Source organism: Homo sapiens, chromosome 13, assembly GCF_000001405.40.
Source record: "Homo sapiens chromosome 13, GRCh38.p14 Primary Assembly".
Classification (NCBI taxonomy): Eukaryota; Metazoa; Chordata; class Mammalia; order Primates; family Hominidae; genus Homo; species Homo sapiens.
In genome coordinates this window covers 97,935,191-97,958,995 of record NC_000013.11, presented here as the reverse complement: position 1 = coordinate 97,958,995, position 23,805 = coordinate 97,935,191, and the positions used below count along the sequence as shown (strand labels likewise).

Here is a 23,805-nt window from a genome sequence, read left to right as displayed (position 1 = left end):
TTCACCATGTTGGCCAGGCTGGTCTTGAACTCCTGACCTCAGGTGATCTACCTGCCTCAGCCTCCCAAAGTGCTGGGGTTACAGGTGTGAGCCACCGTGTCCTGCCTCTTGTAGTGTGACTTGTCCTAGGGGAAAGGGGAATCTAGTGGAGGGTTAAGAAAGAGATCTGACCTGAGAAGCTTTCAACTTTCAAAGATCATCTTGGCTGCAGTGTGGGGTGGGGTGGGATGGGGCTTGGACTGAGGTGGTAGCAATCAACAGTGTTCACTGTTGTGTGGTCGGTTTTAGATGGTTTTCTTTTCTCTTTCTTTCTTTTTTTTTTTTGAGATAGTTTTCTTTTGGAAATGAGCTGGACAGAGGGTGCAGAGGCCGATCCAAGGTTTGTGAGGCCTAAATCATACAGTTTGAGGGCCTTCCATAAGAAAAATAAAAACTAAACACAAAATGAGATAGAGGACCCTGCAATGGGGTAACACAAAATGAGATAGAGGGTCCTGAGCAAAGGAGAGTCCCTGACACTTAAGCTTCTGGAATTTCTTGATGAGTCCTCTCCCGATGGTGGGGGTGAGGTCGGGAGAGATCAAGAATGCCCAGGTTTTGTGACTGAGCAACTGATGATGCTATTAAGATGAGAAGGAGGTGTTTGGGGTAAGGTCTGGAGAGAAGAGCTGGGTTTCCTTCGTGGCACTTTTGTGGGACACAGGAAACAGCCACGTGGCTGAGGATAGAGGGACAATGGAGCCCAGGAAGAGGGCAGGGCTGGAAATGGCAAGCCATCACTTTCATGGCATTTAAAGTTGTGGAAGTGGATGACATCAGGTTGGGAAGAGAGAAGAGAGCCAAGCAATCAGCTGCAAGACAACTCCACCTGAGGCCAGGCCCTGGAGGTTTCTAGTTTATATATAGTCCAAATATAATAGTATATTTAACATTAGTCACTTTAAGTTGTAATTCTCTTTTTCTTTCTGATTGCAAGGGTTTCTTTCTTTACTTTTTTTTCTGAGACAGAGTCTCATTCTGTCTCACTCTGTCACCCAGGCTGGAGTGCAGTGGTGCGATCTCGGCTCACTGCAATCTCCACCTCATGGGTTCAAGCGATTCTGCTGTCTCGGCCTCTAGAGTAGCTGGGATTACAGAAGACAGGGTTTCTTTAACATTTAAGGAATCCACTGATCTACTTCTGAAATCTTCAGAGATAAAAAAGAGAAGGAATCCACTAATGCATGTAAGGATAGTGGGCTGAACAAGTAGGCCCTAATGATCAGAACAAGTCAATTAAAAAAATTATTTGATCAAAGAATTGTTTATTTTTATTGTTTTTATTTTTATTTTTTCTTATACTTCAGGAGTAGTAGGATTTACTTTGTGCCAAGGAAATAACTAGTTTTCTCTAAATTGTCTTCAAGCATTTAGGCCTCCTACCAACTAATATAATTCTCTACCTCTCACTTAGAAACATTGTTTAACAATATGGAATGATCATTTAAAGAACTTAGATCAGGCTGAGTGCGGTGGCTCATGCCTGTAATCCCAGGACTTTGGGAGGTAGGTGGATCACCTGAGGTCGGAGTTCGAGACCAGCCTGGCCAACATGGTGAAACCTTGTCTCTACAAAAAATACAAAAAAAAAATTAGCCAGGTATGGTGGCGCAGGCCTGTAGTCCCAGCTACTCAGGAGGCTGAGGTGGGAGAATCGCTTGAACCTGGGAGGTGGAGGCTGCAGTGAGCTGAGATCACGCCACTGCACTCCAGCCTGGGCAACAAAATGAGACTCAGTCTCAAAAAATAGAAAAAAAAAAAGATGTTAGATCAAACTAATATTAAGAGGTCAAAAGACCATCTTCCTCCCATCTTAATCTAAGGATTTTTCTAGTTTTGTTTATACACTTAAGTTTTCATTTGAGTATTCAGAGAGATAATAAACCCTACCCTTTTAAAGAATGTGGGAGGGAGTGGGAAAAGTAGGAATGCGTTTTAAGGTCTATCTGCCATGTAAAATCAGCGATATTGGACCCATGTGATAAGAATGCTTGTTTTACATGGCTTCAGCTATCCATAGACCAAGCATTTTCTCTTGAAACATAGCTACATTTAGAAAATCTTAATACAGCTTAAAATAGGAATTTTGGTATTTGGTCCCGGACACTACCACCAGAAAGGGATCCCATTATGTTATGATGCTATTATTCAAGCTGGTTGGACTCAGTTTGCAGAGACTCCTATTTTACAAATCACTTGGCTTGTGTGAATTGACTATTTAGTGGCTGTGAGATTGAGGATAAGGGCTAAATCTTTTCTAACAAGAGGACTATTTAAAAACCAGAAGAAAATCATAGTATTTTAGCTGTGAACTTTAGGAGAAGCTTTAGAGAAAAGATTTTATACATATCTTTAGTTTCATATGGTAATAGGTTATAAAGCATACGAAATCAAAGTAAAGAGCTAGAGGTGATGGGGTACTGTTAAAATAGGGTGCCCAGGGAAGACCTTCCTAAGGGTGAGATCCAACAATGTATTGCTTTATGAAAATTAATTTTCTGGCAGAGCAAAGGTATTTAAAAGATTAGTATTAAAAATGCTCAACCTACTTTCTTCTGACTTCTGTAAAAAAGCACTTTTTTATATATCAGATTTTTAAGTTATAATAATAACTGACAACATTTTGATTTCTTTCTGTGTTTGAGGGATAACCTTCTATGCTTTATCTTATTTAATTCTCAAATGTAACCAATGAGCCTTCAACCATTTTGTCAAGAAAATTCTTTAAACATGTATTAATTCCTTACTGGCCTTTTGAAACCTTTTGAAACACTGAATTATTATTATTTTTATTTTTTACTTTTTTTGTTCGTTTTTTTTTTTTTGACACGGAGTCTCGCACTGTCGCCCAGGCTGGAGTGCAGTGGCGCGATCTTGGCTCACTGCAAGCTCCACCTCCCGGGTTCACGCCATTGTCTCGCCTCAGCCTCCAGAGTAGCTGGGACCACAGGTGCCCGCCACCACGCCCGGCTAATTTTTTGTATTTTTAGTAGAGACGGGGTTTCACCGTGTTAAGCCAGGAAGGTCTTGGTCTCCTGACCTTGTGATCCGCCTGCCTTGGCCTCCCAAAGTGCTGGGATTACAGGCATGAGCCACTGCGCCTGGCCAAAATGCTGAATTATTTTTCACCTTTCCAGAGTGGGGCGTATAGGATAGAAGTTGGCCCTTGGGATGAGGGGATCCTGACTGTAGTTGCAGCTTCCCCCTTAACTAGCTGTGATCCTGAACTGGGCTGTCAATGCTTCCTGAGGCCTCCATTTCCTCATCTGTAAATTGGGGCGAGTTGGGCAGCACCCTAGGGGATCCTCCCAGCTCCGGCGTCTGAGGACCATCAAGTCGGTTATGTCACTGGGTTGTGGTAGAGTGGTGGATACACAGGCCACTTAGGCTTGCTTGCCCTGAGGTGAAATTGTTCTGGAACTCTGGGATTTCAACTCTTATATTTCTGCCTGTGTTTTGGAAGTGTTTTCCCCGCTCATTTTCTCCATCAGACAGTGTCATTTATTGTAGCTGCCAACATAAAATGACAACTGTCTCCACTTGTCAGCTGCTCTCATCATCTGGTTTGCTGTGTGCTTTGGAAGGCAGATGACCAAGCATGTATGAACTAGGCACAAGAGTATATGAACTCAGCACAGAGAAGACAGCTGAGGATATTTCCTGTAGAGTAGCATGCATGAACTTTATAAGGTATTTGGCCACTTAGGTATTTTTCTTTTTTTTTTTTCGTGATAGGGTCCCACTCTGTCACCCAGGCTGGAGTGCAGTGGCACAGTCATGGCTCACTGCAGTCTTGACCTCCCCAGCTCAAGGAATCCTCTCACCTCAGCCTCCTGAGTCCCTGGAATTACAGATGCATTCTGCCATAACTGGCTACTTTTTTCTATATTTTGTAGAGACAGGGTCTCACTATGTTGCCTAGGCTGACCTTAAACTCCTAGGCCCAAGTGATCCTCCCACCTCAGCCTCCCAAAGTGCTGGGATTATAGGTGTGAGCCACTGTGCCCGGCCGGTATTTTTCATTTGGAGGTTTATAATTGCATTCCAGAGTTTTAACTCTACTGGAAAGCTAACACAATGTTCCAACACAAATCTGTCTCGCATACTAGTTAGTGTCTTTGAGGTTCCATCACAGACAAATGACGGAAGAAAGCAAAACTGTTTAGGAAGGTCTAAATTAAACATTCTATAATAAAGGCATTAGCATTTGACAAGTCCCTGGTATCTAATACTTTATAAGATGACAATGAGCCTTTTTTACCCCTAGTTAGGGGATTAAGTTCTAGGAGAAGAAGTTAACCAGGTGGTTCCTTAAGTAAGTAATCTTTTGACTACTTAGGGATTGATTTTGTTTTCCCATAATGAAAATGAATTCTGTTTTCCTTCATTTACTTGACTTTAGTGATCTCTGAAAACTAAGATAAAATATACTCGGCCTCTGAGGGAATACAACCATAATGTACAGAAGACAAAATAGATACTCTAAAGATTTTAAATGGAACATCTTGGGATTTGAGAAATTAAAGGCAGTGAAAATCATACTGCTTCTAAGCACTTTTTATTCTCCCTATAGGAAAGCAGGGTAGATAATCCTGATGGGTTGGATTTCAATTAATTGGTGAATAGAAGGTAAAATGATCAAGAAACAGATATCATAATTATAGGAGAAAATAGCAGGAGCTTTTTGTTTTAAAGGAAATAAAGAATAGAATTCACAGTGAAGAGAGACAGAACAAAATCTGATAATTCTAGACTCACTTGAGTGCCGCAAGTATCCTGATCAGGGAAAACAGTTGTGCCTACACATGGGTCCTGGAAAGGCTTCTCCCCGGAACCACCTAAGTGAAATAAAAACTGATTTCTGACTGTTTCAGGATGGCAACACAGACCTTTAGGATAATAACCCACATTCTTTTGGGCAACTCTAATCAAGTGATGCCTCCTTAAGGATACAGAGTTAGTCCCCAGCTCACGTAAGGCACAATACCAAAGAACAATGAGCCATCATGAAATCGTCATTGTTTCATACTTGGTTTTTGTGTAGAATGTTCTCCAAATCATTGTCTCTGACGTTTCCTTCCTCTTGGGTATGACTGTGGTGACGTCAGGAGACGAGCTAAAGGGACCTCCTGGATCTCACAGGGAAACTCTTTCCCTCCAGTATCACGCTAAATTGTTCCTCAGTGCAGATGAAATTCTTAAATGGTTTCATCTGAATGTGAGGTTTTGGGATGACTTACTGTGGTCAGAGCTGTTCCCGGCTGCTCCAGTTGTGGGAGGTCATCAATCCCACAGTTCTGACCTCCTGGCTCAGAGACGTCACCGTGGAGACACCTGGCTGCTATTGTGACACGCAGGAGGTCAGCTGGCTCCTGCTAGTGGGCATTTACACTGCCCACCCTGCCAGCTTCACAGGCCCACACTGCACAGGCATTTAGACGTTACAGGGTAGCCCAAGCTCCCAAAGCTGTGGAAAGGAAAGGGAGCTATCTATTGGCCTTTGAGAACTCAAAACCCATGTTGCTGGGGGCCACTCAGATTGGGTACAAATGTGTCATCAAATTCAGTTTTGAAACTGTCTGAGTAGCTTCTTTACCCACAGATTTTGATTCTATTCACTACTCAATACTGAAAAGAGAAATTGATCTCTCAAATAGACAAAGATAAATTTGTATGGAAACAACAGGAAATTCCATATTACATACGTTTATGTCAACTGGGTTTGTGATTAAATTACTTTTTCTTTTATTTTAGTTGACATGTAATAATTATAAATATTGGCTGGGCGGGGTGGCTCATGCCTGTAATTCCAGCACTTTGGGAGGCCGAGGTGGGAGGATCATTTGAGCTCAGGAGTTCAAGACCAGTCTTGGCAACATGGCAAAACCCCATCTCTATGAAAAATGCAAATATTAGATGCGTGTGGCAGTGCACACCTGTAGTCCCAGCTGCTCAGGAAGCTGAAGTGGGAGGATCATCTGAGCCGGGGGAGGTTGAAGCTGCAGTGAGCTGTGATTGCACCACTGCACTCCAGCCTGGGCAACAGAGTGAGACCTTGTCTCAAAAAATAAACAATAAAAAATTGCAGATATTTATGGGATGTAATTAAATTTTTATATGACAGATTAACATCAATTTTGCCCTGTATTCTCATGGATCTCAATGCCCTAGCTTTGTACATTTAGCTTTTCTTTTTTTTTTGAGACAGATTCTCACTCTGTTGCCCAGGCTGGAGTGCAGTGGCGTGATCTCGGCTCACTGCAACCTCCACCTCCCGGGTTCAAGAAATTCTCCTGCCTCAGCCTCCCAAGTAGCTGGGATTACAGGTGCCCACCACCATGCCCGAATAATTTTTGTATTTTAGTACAGATGGGGTTTCACCACGTTGGCCAGGCTGGTCTTGAACTCCTGACCTCAAGTGATCCATCTGCCTCGGCCTCTCAAAGTGCTGGGATTACAGGCATGATCCCCTGCGCTGGCCTAGCATTTTGTTGTTTTTATTAATTCAGATCATTAATTAAAGCCAAACTCCATTTTTGTAATTATTTATTTCTTTTTTTTTTGATACAGAGTCTCTCTCTGTTGCCCAGGCTGGTGTGATCTCAGCTCACTGCAACCTCTGCCTCTCTGGTTCAAGCGATTCTTCTGCCTCAGCCTCCCAAGTAGCTGGGATTACAGGCACGCGCCACCATGCTCGGCTAATTTTTATATTTTTAGTAGAGACGGGGTTTCACCATGTTAGCCAGGATGGTCTCGATCTCCTGACTTCGTAATCTGCCCACCTTGGCCTCCCAAAGTGCTGGGATTACAGGCATGAGCCAACGCACCCGGCCTATTTTTGATTTTTAAATTGTTTCATAGGACATGGGCAGACTCCTTTGTATAGGTCACATTTTTTTCTTGGTAACGTGTGATGTCTAAGCACTTTCTAGTGTCACCCCGCATATCCTGAAAGTTCTTCAGCACTATTCCTTGCTTCTTCGTCCTCATCCTATGTCACTGGTTCTTTTTTTGTTTTTGAGACAGGGGTCTCATTATGTTACCCAGGCTGGTCTCGAACTATGGGCTCAAGAGATCCTCCTGCCTCAGCCTCCCAAGTGGTTGGGACTGCAGGAGCTCGCTACTGCACCTGACTTCTAACATTTTGGCTTGTGGGCAGGTGTCTTCATGGCATTTTGCTCAAGCATCTTACCAAGGGTCTGATACCAGAATTTACATAGATTCAGAATCAGCGATTGAATGGTTACAAGGTTACTGCAAAATGTATGAAGAACATTTTATTTAGTTACGTATTTGTTTATTTTTTAGTTCTTTTTTTAGAGACAGTCTTGCACTGTTACCCACCCTGGAGTCCAGTGATGCAATCATGGCTCACTGCATGCCCCACCATACTTGGTTAATGTTCTAAAAAAATGTTTGTAGACGTTGGGGGAGGGTCTCACTGTGTTGCCTAGGCTGATCTTGAACTCCTGGCCTCAAGTGAGCTGGGAGCACCTTGGCCTCCCAAAGTGCTGGGATTACAGGGGTGAGCCATTGTGCCCTTCCTGAAGAACATTTTAAAAGAACAAATCCGAGAAGTTTCTCCAGTGCCTATGACATTGACCAGTTGCTTGGTGTATTAGTCTGTTTTCATGCTGCTGATAAAGACCGTGGCTGGGCACAGTGGCTCATGCCTCTAATCCTAGCACTTTGGGAGGCTGAGGTCAGGAGTTCGAGACCACCCTGGCCAACATGGCAAAACCCTGTCTCTACTAAAAATAGAAAAATTAGCTGGGCATGGTCGTGGGTGCCTGTAGTCCCAGCTACTTGGGAGGCTGAGGCAGGAGAATCACTGAACCCAGGAGGTGGAGGTTGCAGTGAGCCGAGATTGTGCCACTGTACTCCAGCCTGGGTGACAGAGCAAGACTTGGTCTCAAAAAAAAAAAAGAAAAAAAAAAAGACATACCTGAGACTGGGTAATTTATAAAGAAAAAGAGGTTTAATGGACTCACAGTTCCATGTGGCTGGGGAGGCCTCATAGTCATGGTGGAAAGCAAAAGATACATCTTACATGGTGGCAGGCAAGAGAGAATGAGAACCAAGTGAAAGGAGAAACCTCTTATAAAATCGTCAGATCTCGTGAGGCTTATTCACTACCACAAGAACAGTATGAGGGAAACTGCCCCCATGGTTCAAATATCTCCTACCGGGTCCCTTTCACAACACACGGGAATTATGGGAGCTACAATTCAAGATGAAATTTGGGTGGGGACACAGGCAAACCATATCACTTGGTTTTTTGGAAGGTGCCAGCAGACCTGACTGCACTGGCTGATCCTTGGGCATTCCAAACCTACACCAAAGACAGGATTTAGGGGAATATACATTGATTTCTTCATCAGCAGGCACAACCAGTGGAATACTGAATAGGAATCACCATGGTGGATAAGGGTAGGCTAGAAAGTCACATATAGAGAGCACTATGGTGGATATTTTGCATTGTGGCTTTATTAGTCCGTTTTCACAGTGATGATAAAGACATACCCAAGACTGGGCAACTTACAAAAGGAAGAGGTTTGTTGGGCTTATGATTCCACATGGCTGGGGAGGCCTCACAAACATGGCGGAAGGTGAAAGGCACATCTCACATGGCGGCAGACAGGAGAAGAGAGCTTGTGCAGGGATACTTTTTTTTTTTTTTTTTCCTGAGACAAAGTCTTGCTCTGTCGCCCAGGCTGGAGTGCAGTGGTGTGATCTCAGCTAACTGCAACCTCCTCCTCCAGGGTTCAAGCAATTCTGCCTCAGCCTCCCGAGTAACTGGGATTACAGGCACATGCCACCATGCCCGGCTAATTTTTGTATTTTTTTTTTTTTTTTTTTTTTGGAGACTGAGTCTCACTCTGTCACCCAGGCTGGAGTGCAGCGATGCGATCCTGGCTCACTGCAACCTCCACCTCCCGGGTTCAAGCGATTCTCCTGCCTCAGCCTCCTGAGTAGCTGGGATTACAGGTGTGTGCCACTATGCCCAGCTATTTTGTATATTTAGTAGAGATGGGGTTTCACCATGTTAGCCAGCTGATCTCGAATTCCTGACCTTTGGTGATCCACCTGCCTTGGCCTCCCAAAGTGCTGGGATTACAGGCGTGAGCCACCACGCCTGGACTCATTTTTGTATTTTTAGTAGAGACGGGGTTTCACCATGTTGGCCAGGCTGGTCTTGAACTCCTGATTTGGTGATCCACCTGCCTTGGCCTCCCAAAGTGCTGGGATTACAGATGTGAGCCACCGCACGTGGCCTAATTTTTGTATTTTTAGTAGAGACAGGGTTTCACCATGTTGGCCAGGCTGGTCTTGAATTCCTGATTTGGTGATCCCCCTGCCTTGGCCTCCCAAAGTGCTGGGATTGCAGGCGTGAGTCACAGCGCCCGACCAGGAAACTTTTTTAAAACCATCAGATCTCATGAGACTGATTCACTATCATGAGAAAGCACAGGAAAGACCTGCCCCCATGATTCAATTACCTCCTACCAGGTTCCTCCCATGACACATGGGAATTGTGGGAGTTACAATTCAAGATGAGATTTGGGTGGGGACACAGCCAAACCATATGAGTGGCCTTATTTGCCTTTTATTCATTTCACTTCATGTAGCCATAGATGGGCTGTGAGAATCTTGGATAATCAGCAAACCCCATTGTCTGTTTTTTTTTTCTTTTTCTAAAATGTCCACCCTCTGATGATCATTTAGATATGTTGATACGTTGTCCTTCAGTTAACATTATTTTAGGTTTCTTTCTTGCTTTCTTTTTTTTTTTAGAGTCTCACTCTGTCATCCAGGCTGGAGTGGAGTGGCATGATCTTGGCTCACTGCAGCCTCTGCCTTTCAGTTTCAAGTGATTCTTCTGCCTCAGCCTCCCCACTAGCTGGGATTACAGGCACCCGCCACCACGCCTGGCTAATATTTGTATTTTTAGTAGAGACGGGGTTTCACCACGTTGGTCAGGCTGGTCTCGAACTCCTGACCTCAGGTGGTCCACCCACCTTGGCCTCCCAAAGTGCTGGGATTACAGGTGTGAGCCACCAGGCTGGGCCTAGGACATTTCTTTTAATTCCATTATACTATTAAGGGCAGTGGTATCCGTGTTAGTGATGGATAATAATGTACATTGTTTTTTGTTTAAAAGAAGAGAAATGGGGCCGGGAGCAGTGACTCACGCTTGTAATCCCAGCACTTTGGGAGGCTGAGGTGGGTGGATCACGAGGTCAGGAGTTCGAGACCAGCCTGGCCTACATGGTGAAACCCCATCTCTACTAAAGATACAAATAATTAGCCGCGCGTTGTGGCGGGTGCCTGTAATCCCAGCTACTTGAGAGGCTGAGGCAGGAGAATTGCTTGAACCCGGGAGGCGGAGGTTGCAGTGAGCCGAGATCGCACCATTGCACTCCAGCCTGGGTGACACGGCAAGACTCTGTCAAAAAAAAAAAAAAAAAAAAAAAAAAAGGAAGAGAAAGGAAGAAAAATGTTTGTCCTTATTTCTTAAAATATTCAATGAGCTTATATTGTGTTCGAGTGATTAACTGTGGTGCCTTTAGGTGCCCCTGAAGTAGTCATAACTTTTTACTCTAACTCCTAAACCTAACACCACATCTATCCACATACAAACAGGTACATACTTATTTCCCTTTCAATATCATTAGTCTTAGTTTTTTGAATGTTGAGCCTGCAGGCTTTAAAAATACAACTTAGGGCCAGGCATGGTGACTCATGCCAGCACTTTGGGATGCCAAGGTAGGAGGATTGCCTGAGCCCAGGAGTTTGAGATCAGCCTGGGCAACATAGCAATATCCTGCCTCTACAAAAAATAAAAAAATTAGCCAGGCGTGGTGGCACACACCTGTAGTCCCAGCTACTTGGGAGGCTGAGGTAGGAGGATCGCTTGAGTCCAGGAGGCTGAGGCTGCAGTGAGCTGTGATTACCCCACTGCATTCTAGCCTGGACAATGGAGAGGGACCATGTCTTGGGGGAAGAAAAAGAAAAAAGAAAAAATCCAACTGAAAAAATATTTTTAGCTGGGCACGGTGGCTCACGCCTGCGCCTATAATCCCAGCACTTTGGGAGGCCAAAGCAGGTGGATCACTTGAGGCCAGGAGTTTGAGACCAGCCTGGCCAACATGACGAAACCCTGTTTCTAGTAAAAATTCAAAAATTAGCCTGTCGTGGTGTTGTGCGCCTGTAATCCCAGCTACTGGGGAGGCTAGGGCAGGAGAATCACTTGAGCCTGGGAGGTGGAGGTTGCAGTAAACCAAGGTCGCTCCACTGCACTCCAGCCTGGGCTATAGAGAGACCCTGTCTCAAAAAAAAAAAAAAAAAAAAGAAAAGAAAAATTAAAGTGTTCACATATAAATGAAGCAACTCATTTAGAGAGGAAGGGAAAGGCCTGGAAGCCAAGTGTTGGCATTTCCACCAAGGCTGAGCATTCTTATACGGAGACCCTGCCGAACTGCCTTTCCTGGGACGCATATTTTCATGCTACATCATATATTTGGTGAAGCAACTCAGCTACACCCTTTCAGTGGGGGTTGAAGATGAATCAGCCCATCATGTTGTAATTCAGACAAAAGCAAGGTTTATTTTTTTTCAGGCAATCATTCTAAAATGCCAGAGGAAATGAAGCCCCTTGGCCCACTGGCCCTGATCTGTGCCAGGTTTTGCACCAATATTGAAAGCCTGTTCTGTTCTGTAGGACTTGCCCCTGAAACAAAGGATCTTCCTGAAATGCATCTCCACAGACTCTCAACTCAAAAATTCATCTCTGTGGGAGAGGGGACATTTTGTAGCATTTTGTCTTCAGCTTGTATTCTACAAAAATCAAACTTCAGATATGAAAATTCTTTTAAACTATAGATTTATTGAACTAGAAAGGGCCAGAAGAACTCTAATTGATACAATTAGGACTTACATAATTTATCTAAGAGAGGATTAGATATGAAGCAACCCAGAGAATAAGAGTCTAATCTGCACTTAACCTTCTCTTTCCTTCCTTCCTTCCTTCCTTCCTTCCTTCCTTCCTTCCTTCCTTCCTTCCTTCCTCCCTCCCTCCCTCCCTCCCTCCATCCCTCCCTCCCTCCCTTCCTTTCCTTCCTTCCTTCCTTTCTTTCTCCTCCTCTCTCTCTCTCTTTCTTTCTTTGAGACAGAGTTTCACTCTAGTTGCCCAGGCTGGAGTGCAATGGCATGATCTTGGCTCACCACAACCTCCGCCTCCCAGGTTCAAGTGATTCTCCTGCCGCAGCCTCCCGAGTAGCTGGGCTTACAGGTGCCACCCCACCATGCCCGGCTAATTTTGTATTTTTAGTAGAGACGGGGTTTCTCCGTGTTGGTCAGGCTGGTCTCAAACTCCAGACCTCAGGTGATCCACCAGCCTCAGTCTCCCAAATTGCTGGGATTACAGGCATGAGCCACTGCACCTGGCCTAACCTTTTAAAAAGAAATTTTTCATGGGCAAAAGATCTGAATAGACATTTCTCCAAAGACGATATACAAATAGCTAATAAGCCCATAAAAAGATGCCCATACACAGGAGGCTGAGGTAGGAGAATCATTTGAACCCGGGAGGTGGAGGTTGGAGGTTGCAGTGAGCTGAGATTGTGTCACTGCACTCCAGCCTGGGTGACAGAGCAGGACTGTCTCGGGGGGGAAAAAAAAGATGCCCAACATTAGTCATCAGGGAAATGCAAATCAAAACCACAGTGAGATACCACTTCATACAAACGAAAATGGCTATAATCAAAAAGTCATAATAATAATGTTGGTGGGTATGTGGAGAAATTGGAATCCTCTTACACTACTGGCGGGAATGTGAAGTGGTGCAGCTGATTTGGAAAATAGTCTGGCAGTTTCTTGAAAAGTTAAACAGAGTTCCATTTGACCCAGCAATTCTGCTCTTTAGCATATACCCAAGAGAAAAGGGAACTTGTAGTCCCAGCTACTTGGGGGGCTGAGGTGGGAGGATCACTTGAGCATGGGAGGTCAAGGTTGCAGTGAGCTATGATTGCACCACCGCAATCCAGCATGGGCAACAGAGTGAGACCCTGTTTCTAAAGAGAAAAAAAGTGCAAGCAACCCAAATGTCCATCAACTGAGGAATGGATAAATAAAATGTGGTACATGCATACAATGGAATATTATTTAGCAATAGAAAGAAATATGAAATACTCATATATGCGGCAACATTGGATGAACTTTAAAAACAGTACACTAAGGGAAAGAAGGCAGTCACAAAAGATTACATATTATATGATTTAATTTATATGAACTAGAATAGGCAAATCTATAAAGACAAAGTTGACTAAATGGTTGCTTAGGGCCAGTGGAGCTGGGGGTGGGGCAGGAGAATGATAGCTAAAGGGTGTGTTTTTTTAATGGATAAAAGTGTTCTAAAATGGATTATACTTAAGGTTGCACAGTTATGCATATGCTAAAAACCATGAAGTGTCCTTGAAATGAGTGAGCTGTATGGTATGTGAATTATATCTCAAGAAGAAAGAAAGAATGAAAAAGAAAACTCTCTAGGTTTCTTCCTGGCTGCCAGAAAATTCTTTTTTTTACTTTTTGTTTTTTTGAGACAGGATCTTGCTCTGTCACCCAGGCTGGAGTGCAGTGGTGTGATCACTGCTCACTGCAGTCTTGACCCCCCGGGTTTGAGTGATCCCCTCACCTCAGCCTCCCAAGTATCTGAGACTGCAGGTATGAGCCACCATATCTGGCTAATTTTAACTTTTTTTTTTTTTTTTTGTAGAAACAGTCTCCCTATGTTGCCCAGGTGGTCTTGAACTCCTGGACTCAAGTGATCCTCACGTCTTGGCCTCCCGAAGTGCTGGGATTACAGGCATGAGCCACTGTGTCTTGCCAGAAAATTCTTTCCCATATTTAGTATTTTTCTTTTTGCTCACTCTAATAAACACTTGTTTTGTTTTTGGTAGAGACAGAGAAGAGTAAAAAACTTCCTTGTCTTGAATCATAAATCTAATACTCAAAGGCCATTATTATATTAGCCATTTGGAGGAAACGATTTCAGTGCCTTTAACCTTTTCTTATAGGATTCATTTTTATGCCATTATTTGCCTTTCTACCTCTCTTGGAGCTTCTTAACCATTCTGGGCCTCAGATTCTTCGCCTATAAAATGAGACTGGTGGACTAGATCTCAAAGACCCCTTGCAGGTCTGAAGTCCTGTGATGAATGTCGGCATCCTTTGAGAAAGCATGAACATGTACAAATGAAAACACTTTTCTGAGCCGTGGAAGGCAAAACTGTAATCAGCTATGAAAAGAAGCTGGAAACAGACTGAGGGAGTCGAGTTTTAAAATCAGTGAACACAGCATGAAGTGGGCACAGCAAAGGCCTGAGAGTCAGGAAACTTAATCTCTGCTTTTATGACTCATGGTAAGATTTGGGAGAGTCACATGACCTCTTGAGTACATTTTCTTTTCTATAAAATGGGCATCATATAATCTGCCTACCTCTCTCTAAGCAGTGTTTTCACTGAATGATTAAACAAGTAAATATTACTGTAATGCACATATTATAACAATATTTTATATATGATTCACAACAAAAGTGCTGTTATTGAAACAATTCTTTCCTTGAAAGAAAATTTATGATACCTATTTTTAAAATTCATTTCATTTTGGTTTTATCATCTCCTCTTAAAACTTAATGAATATAGGCTGGGTGCAGTGGCTCACGCCTGTAATCCCAGCACTTATGGAGGCTGAGGTGGGCAAATCACTTGAGGCCAGGAGTTCGAGACCAGCCTGGCCAACGTGGCGAAACTTTGTCTCTACTAAAAATACCGCAATTAGCCAGGTGTGGTGGGACAACCTGTAATCCTGGCTACTCAGGTGGCTGAGGCACAAGAATTGCTTGAGCCTGAGAGGCAGAAGTTGCGATGAGTGGAGATGACACCAGTGCACTTCAGCCTGGGCGACAGAGCAAGACTCTGTCTCAGAAACAAAACAAAACAAAAAACTTAATGAATATGGCATAGTAAAATGTAAAGAAATATAAAAATAAAAGCTCAATGAAATCATGGTTAATGTGAACAAAGCTTACAATAACATTAAAAATTAATAAAAAGTATTTTTCTTCCAAATTTGGCTTTGTAAAAGCCTATGTTAATTATAAAAATTGTTAAGCATTTTTCTAGTTGCCACTTCCCTCACATCTATATTGTTCTCATTGTTAAGGTGTCTTATGTTGCTTTTTTTTAAAATTATACTTTAATTTCTGGGGTACATGTGCAGAACGTGCAGTTTTGTTACATAGGTATACACGTGCCGTGGTGGTTTGCTTCACCCATCAACCCATCATCTACATTAGGTATTTCTCCTAATGCTATCCCTTCCCTAGCCCCCCACCCCCCGACAGGCCCCAGTGTGTGATGTTCCCCTCCCTGAGTCCATGTGTTCTCATTGTTCAGCTCCCACTTATGAGTGAGAACATGCAGTGCTTGGTTTTCTGTTCTTGTGTTAGTTTGCTGAGAAAGATGGTTTCCAGCTTCATCCATGTCTGGTGTCTTATGTTTCTGAGTAGAACCAGAGGTCAAGGGACCATGTCAGATCTCTCCGTTGTTACACCTTAATGCCTGTAACAATGCCATGCATCTGGTATTTACTCATTAAAAACTGATGACATTTATTGCCTGCTAATGGAAGAGGTTAAACTGCTCAATGTAAATAGGACATTGAAAATTTGCAGTCCAGACAGAATTTTTTTGTGTGGGTCTAGTGATTTCTGAGAACCATAAAGCTAATTTAAAGCATCTTAGGCAATAACAAATATCTCATGGTATTCATGAGATCAATGACATCATGAAACTTAGGAAACTGAACAATAGTCGCAAAAGTTGACACACTTAAAGGAGAGATGGTCTTCCAAGCAGGGAGACTGTATGATTTTCCAGGGGTACCACCTTTGCTCAAAAGAGCACGGAAATTCCCCTGTTTGGAATTTGGAATCTGTCCAGAGTCAGATTACCATCCCTCAGGAAAATCAACCTCATTTCTTATAGCCACGCAATGTGGTTAATGATGTTTGCTTTTCCTCTCTTGTAAGCTATTGAGTTATCTTCAAATAGGATGCATTGCATAGGTAACAATGGGATCATGCCAATTACTGTGTAATTGGAGTTAGAGATAGGCCTGCTTAAAATCAAGAACAATAGGCCGGGCACAGTGGCTCACACCTGTAATCCCAGCGGTTTGGGAGGCTGAGGCAGGTGGATCACGAGGTCAGGAGATCGAGACCATCCTGGCTAACACGGTGAAACCCCGTCTCTACTAAAAATACAAAAAGTTAGCTGGGCGTGGTGGCAGGCGCCTGTAGTCCCAGCTACTTGGGAGGCTGAGGCAGGAGAATGGTGTGAACCTAGGAGGCAGAGCTTGCAGTGAGCCAAGATCGCACCACTGCACTCCAGCCTGGGTGACAGAGCGAGACTCTGTCTCAAAAAAAAAAAAAAAAAATCAAGAACAATAAACATCCATAGAGCTGAGATTGCCATTGTCCCAGATACTTTCAGATGAGTTATTCCATCCTTAAAACTACCCTTTGTGGCAGGTTGTACTTTCCTCAGGAATATGGGACGTTCAGTGATATCCACACATATTCCGGGCCATGGGAGAGTCCAGATGGGCTGTGCAGTCTGAAGTTGCTGATAGCTGTCACTCTTGCTGGGGGTCACCTGGCACATTGCTAATAAACCACTGTAGTTTATTAGCACAGCAACAAGCAGTGCTCACTAAAGTCTATGAAGTTGCTGTCTTTGGCCAAGGTCCCAGCTTGCTTTCTGGGACTAAGGGTGTTCACCTTGACAGGGTCCAGGCCATCTTGAGGCCACTCTCTGCTCTTCTAGGCGTGTAGGGCCCGCCCACCTTCTTTTCTTCTCAACTCCTCCCGTTTTCTCTTCCTCCCCAGCATGCTCTAACTTCCCCCCAGAGCTTTTTTTTTTTTTTTTTGAGACAGAGTTTTGCTTTGTTGCCCAGGCTGGAGTGCAGTGGTATGATCTCGGCTCACTGCAACCTCTGCCTCCCAGGTTCAAGCAATTCTTGTGCCTCAGCCTCCGGAGTAGCTGGGATTACAGGCGCCTGCCACCAAACCCGGCTGGTTTTTTGTATTTCAGTAGAGACAGAGTTTCACCATGTTGCCCATGCTGGTCTCGAACTCCTGAGATCAGGCAATCTGCATGTCTCGGCTTCCCAAAGTGTTAGGATTACAGGAGTGAGCCACTGTGCCCAGCCCCAAGCTCTTGCTTAAGAATGAATCTTATAGGCTGCCTATTTAGAGCCTTGCTTTTTGACTCTTTAAAAACAAACAAACAAACAAAACAAACAAGTACCAAAACGCCAAACTCAGGTTTGGCTTTAAAACGATTGTTATGTGTTTAGCTCAATTGGAAAAAATTGAATGTAAAAATGTATCGGGAGGTCGAGGTGGGTGGTTCACGAGGTCAGAAGATCGAGACCATCCTGGCTAACATGGTGAAACCCCATCTCTACTTAAAAAAAAAAAAATACAAAAAATTAGCCAGGCGTGGTGGTGGGTGCCTGTAGTCCCAACTACTCAGGAGGCTGAGGTGGCAGAATTGCTTCAACCCGGAAGGCAGAGCTTGCAGCGACCCAAGATCGTGCCACTGCACTCCAGGCTGCGTGACAGAGCGAGACTCCCTTTCAAAAAAAAAAAAAAAGTATAAATCACATATACAATAAGGTAGATTATCAAACAGGTACAGCAGAAGGCTCATTTCAGATCAGAAGTTCTACATTCAGTGTCACAGTGAGGGTGGTAGAAATGAAAACATTTTATTCATTTATTTAGCACGTTGCTTATTTTTTCTAATTTTAAAAATACACATATTACTTCTCTCTGTATTAATAAAAGGTTATTTTAAACAACCGTACTAATACAGTTTGTATTGTGATAAAATATACATGACGAAATTTACCATCGTATCATTTTTTTTTTTTTTTTTTGAGATCGAGTCTGTTTCTGTTGCCCAGGCTGGAATACGGTAGTGTGATCTTGGCTCACTGCAATCTCTGCCTCCCGGGTTCAAGCCATTCTTGTGCCTCAGCCTCCCATCCTGAGTAACTGAGATTACAGGCGTGAGTCACCATGCCCAGCTAACTTTTTGTATTTTTAGTAGAGACGAGGTTTCGCCATGTTGATCAGACTGGTCTCAAACTCCTGGTCTCAAGCAATCTGCCCGCCTCGGCCTCTCAAAATGCTGGGATTATAGGTGTGAGCCACTGTGCCCGGCCCCGTCTTATCAATTTTTAAGAGTACAGTTCAGCAGCATTAAATATATTCACAATGTTGTGCAACCATAACCACCATTCATGGTGGTGATGAATTTTTTTTTGTTTTAAAACAGTGTCTCACTCTGTTGCCCAGGCTGGAGTGCAATAGCACAATCACTGCTCACTGCAGCCCCCGCCTCCCAGGCTCCAGTGATCCTCCCACCTCAGCCTCCCGAGTAGCTAGGACTGCAGGCATGCACCACCATGCCTGGCTAATTTTTAAATTTTTTGTAGAGATGGGCTGGTCCGTGCCCTATGTTGCCTAGGCTGGTCTCAAACTCCTGAACTCAAGTGATCCTCCTGCTTTAGCCTCCCAAAGTGCAGGGATTACAGGTGTGAGCCACAGCACCTGGCCCGGAATTTTTTTCATCTTGCAAATCTGAAATTCTGTATCCATTAAATGCTAACTCCCCATTCTCCCCACCTCTAGTCCCTGACAACCACCATTCTACTTTCTGTCTCTGTGAATTTGACTAGGTACCTTATATAAGTGGAATCCCACAGACTTTGCTCAAAGATGCTATTTTTTGTGTGTCTGGTTTGTTTTACTTAGCAACAATAATGTCTTCCAGCTTCATCTATGTTATAGCACGTATCAGAATTTCCTTCCTTTTTAAGGCAAATAATATTCCATTGGATGGATATACTACATTTTGTTTATCCATTCATCCATTGATGGGTACTTTGGTTGCAGACACATTTTAACTATTGTGAATAGAGCTGTTATGATCATGGGTGTAACTAATATAGTTTAAAGAATTTATTTAGGAGATAAAAATAAACAGTATTTCGGTTTTGTTTATATTCCTATTACTGATTTTCTTTTTACCTAAGCCTTTGGCTGAAGAAAGGAAGGGCCATGCCTGCTGAATTGGGAAAGGAGAGCAGGGAATGAAGGAAAAGGACAGTCAGAGACTAAGGGTTAGTGTTCAGAATATACAAGAATTCTTACAAATCTGTAAGGAAAAGATGCGCCACTCAATAGAAAATGGTCAAAAACTTGAACCAACATTTCATAACAGAGACAATCCAAAATGAAACAATGCTCAACCAAAAAGTAATCAGAAAAATGCAAATTAAAGCTACAACACGACACAATTATGCACCCACCAGAATGGCTAAATCTGTCTTTCAAAGCTAAACAAAGCAAGAAGAACTTACCTACACAGCCAATGGAGGTGAAAAATGGTACAAACCTTTGGAAAATAATTTATTGTTCTCTTGTAAAGTTGAAAATAAATATACCCCAGGAGCCTGCAGCTTATTTCCTGGGTATATTCTCTGGAAATCTGCATGCACAGATGCACCAGGGTGCAATAATGCTCCTGATAGCATCGCTCATAATAGCCCCAAACCAGAAACAACCCAAAAAGTCATCTGCAACACAATGGATGCATTCATTGTGGTGTATTCATTTGATGGAATACAGAATTACAGCTACACGCACCATGGATGAAACTCACAATTATGATGTTTAGTGAAAAAGTTTAGTGAAAAAAGGCAGAGTCAAAAGATTTCATATGATTGCTTCCATCTGTATAAAGTTTAAATTAGGCAAAAAATAATTTATTTTTAGGAAAGCATGTGTAGGTGGTGCTATGGTTTGGATGCAGTTTGTTTAGCTTTGCCAAGTCTCATGTTGAAATTTAATCCCCAGTGTTGAAGGTGGGGTCTTGTGGGAGGTGTTTGGATCCCTCATGAATGGCTTGGTGCCATTCTCTTGGGAGTGAGTGAGTTCTCACTCTCAGTTCCCGAGAGAACTGGTTGTTGAAAAAAGCCTGGCACCTTCTTGCTCGCTCTGTCTTGCCTCCTTCTCTCTCACCATGTGACCTGCACACATTGGCTCCCCTTCCCCTTCCGCCATGAGCAGAAGCAGCTTGAGGTCCCCACCAGAAGCAGATGCCGGTGCCATGCTTCTTGTATGGCCTGCAGAACCATGAGCCAAATATCTTTTCTTTATAAATCACCCAGCCTCAGATATTCCTTTGTAGCAACATAAACAGACAAAGACCGGTGGTCAATATATAATAGGAAGCAAGGTGTCAATGGCAAGGAAGAGGATTTTGAGTGGGGAGGAATGTGTGGGACAGGAGACACTATCCTATTTTCTGACTTAGGTGGTGGTTACTTTAGAATTAAAAATATATGTATTTTAAAATAATTATAAATTCACAGGAAGATGCAAACACTGTGCATAAATGTCCAGCATACCTGTCACTCAATTCCCCCAATAGTTGGATCATGCATAATGATAGTACAAATTGACATTGGTCCAATGTATGGATCTAGTTCTGTGTCATTTGATTACACATACACAAAGCTCCTCGTGTGCGTCTCCTTCATAGTTTCCTCCCTCCAGCCCCTCCCTGCCATCCCTAGACCCTGGCAACAACCACTAGACTATTTTCCTCTTCTGTAATTTTGTCATTGGAAATGTTATATAAATGGAATTGTGTAATGCATGACCTTCTGAGATTGGCTTTGTACAATCAGAGAATCCACTTGAGATCAACACATGTTCTTATCAATAGTTTGTTCCTTTGTGTTGCTGAGTTGCATTTCACTGTATGGATGCACCTTTTGATGGACATTTCGGTTGCCTCCAGTTTTTGCCTGTTACAAATAAAGCTACTATGAGTACTTGTGCATAGGTTTCTGTGTGTATACACATTTTTACTTCTTAAATAATTCCCAGGAGTGCAATTGCTGGATTTTATGGTAAGTGTATGCTGAGTTTTAAAAGACACCAACACACCATTTTCCAAAGTGACTGCACCATTTTACATTTCCACCAGCAATGTGTGAGAAGTGCAATTTCTCTGCATCCTTGCCAGCATTTGCTATTGCTGCTATTACACTTTTTTCCCCTGTTCTGATACATGTGTAGTGTTAGATCATCATGGCCTTAATTTGTACTTCCTTAATGGCGAGTGATGTGGAACATTACTGGAGGAGGGGCAGTGTTCTATCTTCTAACTTAGGTAGTGGTTAAACTGTGAATGTTTTGTATTTCACAGTAAAATAAGAAAAGAAGTGGCCGGGTGCGGTGGCTCACGCCTGTAATCCCAGCACTTTGAGAGGTCAAGGCAGGTGGATCACTTGAGGTCAGGAGTTCAAGACCAGTGTGGCCAACATAGTGAAACCTCGTCTCTACTAAAAATACAAAAGTTAGCCAGGCATGGTGGCGGGTGCCTGTAATCCCAGCTACTTGGGAGGCTGAGGCAGGAGAATCGCTTGAATCAGGGAGGCGAAGGTTGCAGTGAGCTGAGATCATGCCACTGCACTCCAGCCTGGGCGACAGAGCGAGACTCTGTCTCAAAAAAAAAAAAAAAAGAAAAGAAGAGCACTGAGATTCATATTTTGAGATATTATCTCCCTACATCCATTAAAAAAAAAAAAGGCAACCATGTGTGGGGCACTGAAGTCACCTGGCTAGAGGTAGAGTAGGCAGGCAGTGGACCCCCCGTGAAGCCTGGGCTATTTTCAGCTGCCCACAGCACCTCCATGTAAAACAGACTTTCATAAAGCCAACGTCCTTCCAAAGCAGTCTGATGTGGAGTTGTTCAAACACTAAAAAAAATAAAATGTATTATGCATATGCATTGCATAGGCGGTTCGTGTGCTGCAAAGTGGAACATTCATATCAGAGTACATGGACGAGAAATGAGAAACCCACACTGCATTTCCAGGTAGTTGGAAAGGCTTTAAAGAAGAAGGAAATTTAACAGCAATTTAAAAGGCTCTTTAGATTGTAACTGAGAGGGACTAGGGATGGGGTAGGGAATTGTTACTTGTTATTATAAGCACTTCTGTACTGTGTCTTCGTTTAGAAAAGAAGTCTGCTGGGCGCGGTGGGTCACGCCTACAATCCCAGCACTTTGGGAGGCTGAGGTGGGCGGATCACCTGAGGTCAGGGGTTCGAGACCAGCCTGGCCAACATGGTGAAACCCCGTCTCTACTAAAAATACAAAAATTAGGTGGACGTGGTGGCAAGTGCCTGTAATCGCAGCTACTTGGGAGGCTGAGGCAGGAGAATCGCTTGAACCTGGGAGGCGGAGGTTGCAGTGAGCCAAAACCGTACCACTGCACTCTAGCCTGAGTGACAGAGCGAGACTCCATCTCAAAAAAAAAAAAAAAAAAAAAAAGAAAAGAAAAGAAGTCAGAAAAGATAGTGCAAATTTACATAGTGTGTTTTGTGTTAGTTTCCTAGGGCTGCTGTCACAAAGACCCACAAACTGTATGGCTTGAACAACAGAAATGCATTGTCTCATAGTTTTTGAGGCTAGATGTCTGAGATTAAGGACATTAGATTTCTGTATTTTAGAAAGATGCTAATGCAAAAAAAGTTTCTGGAGTCAACTTGCAGTCATCCAGAAATCCAGGCATTGAAGTACTGCATTCCTTCTTCCCAGACTCTTGGATCATTGAGCGTGTAGTCCAGCCATTTCTGTTCCTGTACACGGTAACATTTTTTCTTTTTCTCTCCTCCTCATTCAGTGTTTTTGACCTAGATACTATTCATTGAAATTAAACAGCACGTTTACAAGCATTTTACAGGAGTTAACCCTTTTACCTCAAATAACACAGTAAGCCTAGGAAGTAGGAATGAATAGTATCCCCATTTTGCATATGAGGAAACAAAGGCTTGGAGAAGCTGAGTAACTTGCCCCCCACATTTAGGGCTAATTAGCAGTGAGCTGAGCTGTGAACCCAGGTTGTCTGTCATAGAGTCTGTTCCTAGGCACCAGGCTGTACTATTCATCGTGAAATTAAAGCAGTAGCAATTGTTATTATTTATTTATTTATTTTTATCTTTTAGACAGGGTCTCACTCTGTTGCCCAGGCTGGAATGCAGTGGCACAATCTCAGCTCACTGCAACCTCTGCCTGCTGGATTCAAGCAATTCTCATGCCTCAGCCTCCTGAGCAGTTGGGATTACAGGCATGTGCTGCCAGACCTGGCTAATTTTTGTATTTTTAGTAGAGTCGTGGTTTTGCCATGTTGGCCAGGCTGGTCTAGAACTCCTGGCCTCAACTGATCCGCCTGCCTTGGCCTCTCAAAGTGCTGGGATTACAGGCATGAGCCACGGATCCTTGATGTAATTGTTATTTTTTTAATGTAACTTTTATTTTAAGTTGCAGTAGCAATTATCATAGGGTTTTACATAAATATCAACAAAGTTTCTACAGTTCCTTGGCATGTGGTAGGTGAGATATGAATGCTACTTATCTTTTTTTCCTCCTTATGTCTCTAATCTTTTTTTTTTTCTGACTTGTTATTTTGTAACACAGACATTATTTGGGAGTCATAGAGTTAAAGATTACAATGTTTGTTCAGAAACTACATAAAGCATTGCATTTGGCAAGTTATTGGAATTTTTTTTCTTGCTAGGCGGATAAATGTTCCTAAAGATAAAACTTCCTGAAGAGAATACG

The 23,805-nt window shown here is 43.1% G+C and overlaps 1 protein-coding gene across 11 annotated transcripts in view; it reads right to left on the bottom strand.

Moving 5' to 3' along the window:
- The window catches only part of IPO5 (importin 5), a 70,622-nt gene extending 65,301 nt beyond the window's left edge, over window positions 1-5,321 (bottom strand). For 9 of the 11 annotated variants that reach the window (XM_011521089.3, XM_047430298.1, XM_047430299.1 and 6 more), the window contains exons 1-2: window positions 5,280-5,321; window positions 4,798-4,877 (exon numbers count right to left, since the gene is read on the bottom strand). The gene's annotated coding sequence lies outside the window, so the exon portion shown is untranslated. Of the gene's footprint in view, window positions 1-4,797; window positions 4,894-5,279 lie in introns of all 11 variants that reach the window. The other 2 variants (XM_024449346.2, XM_005254052.4) reach the window with 2 other exon arrangements.
- Window positions 5,322-23,805: the final 18,484 nt, after the last annotated feature.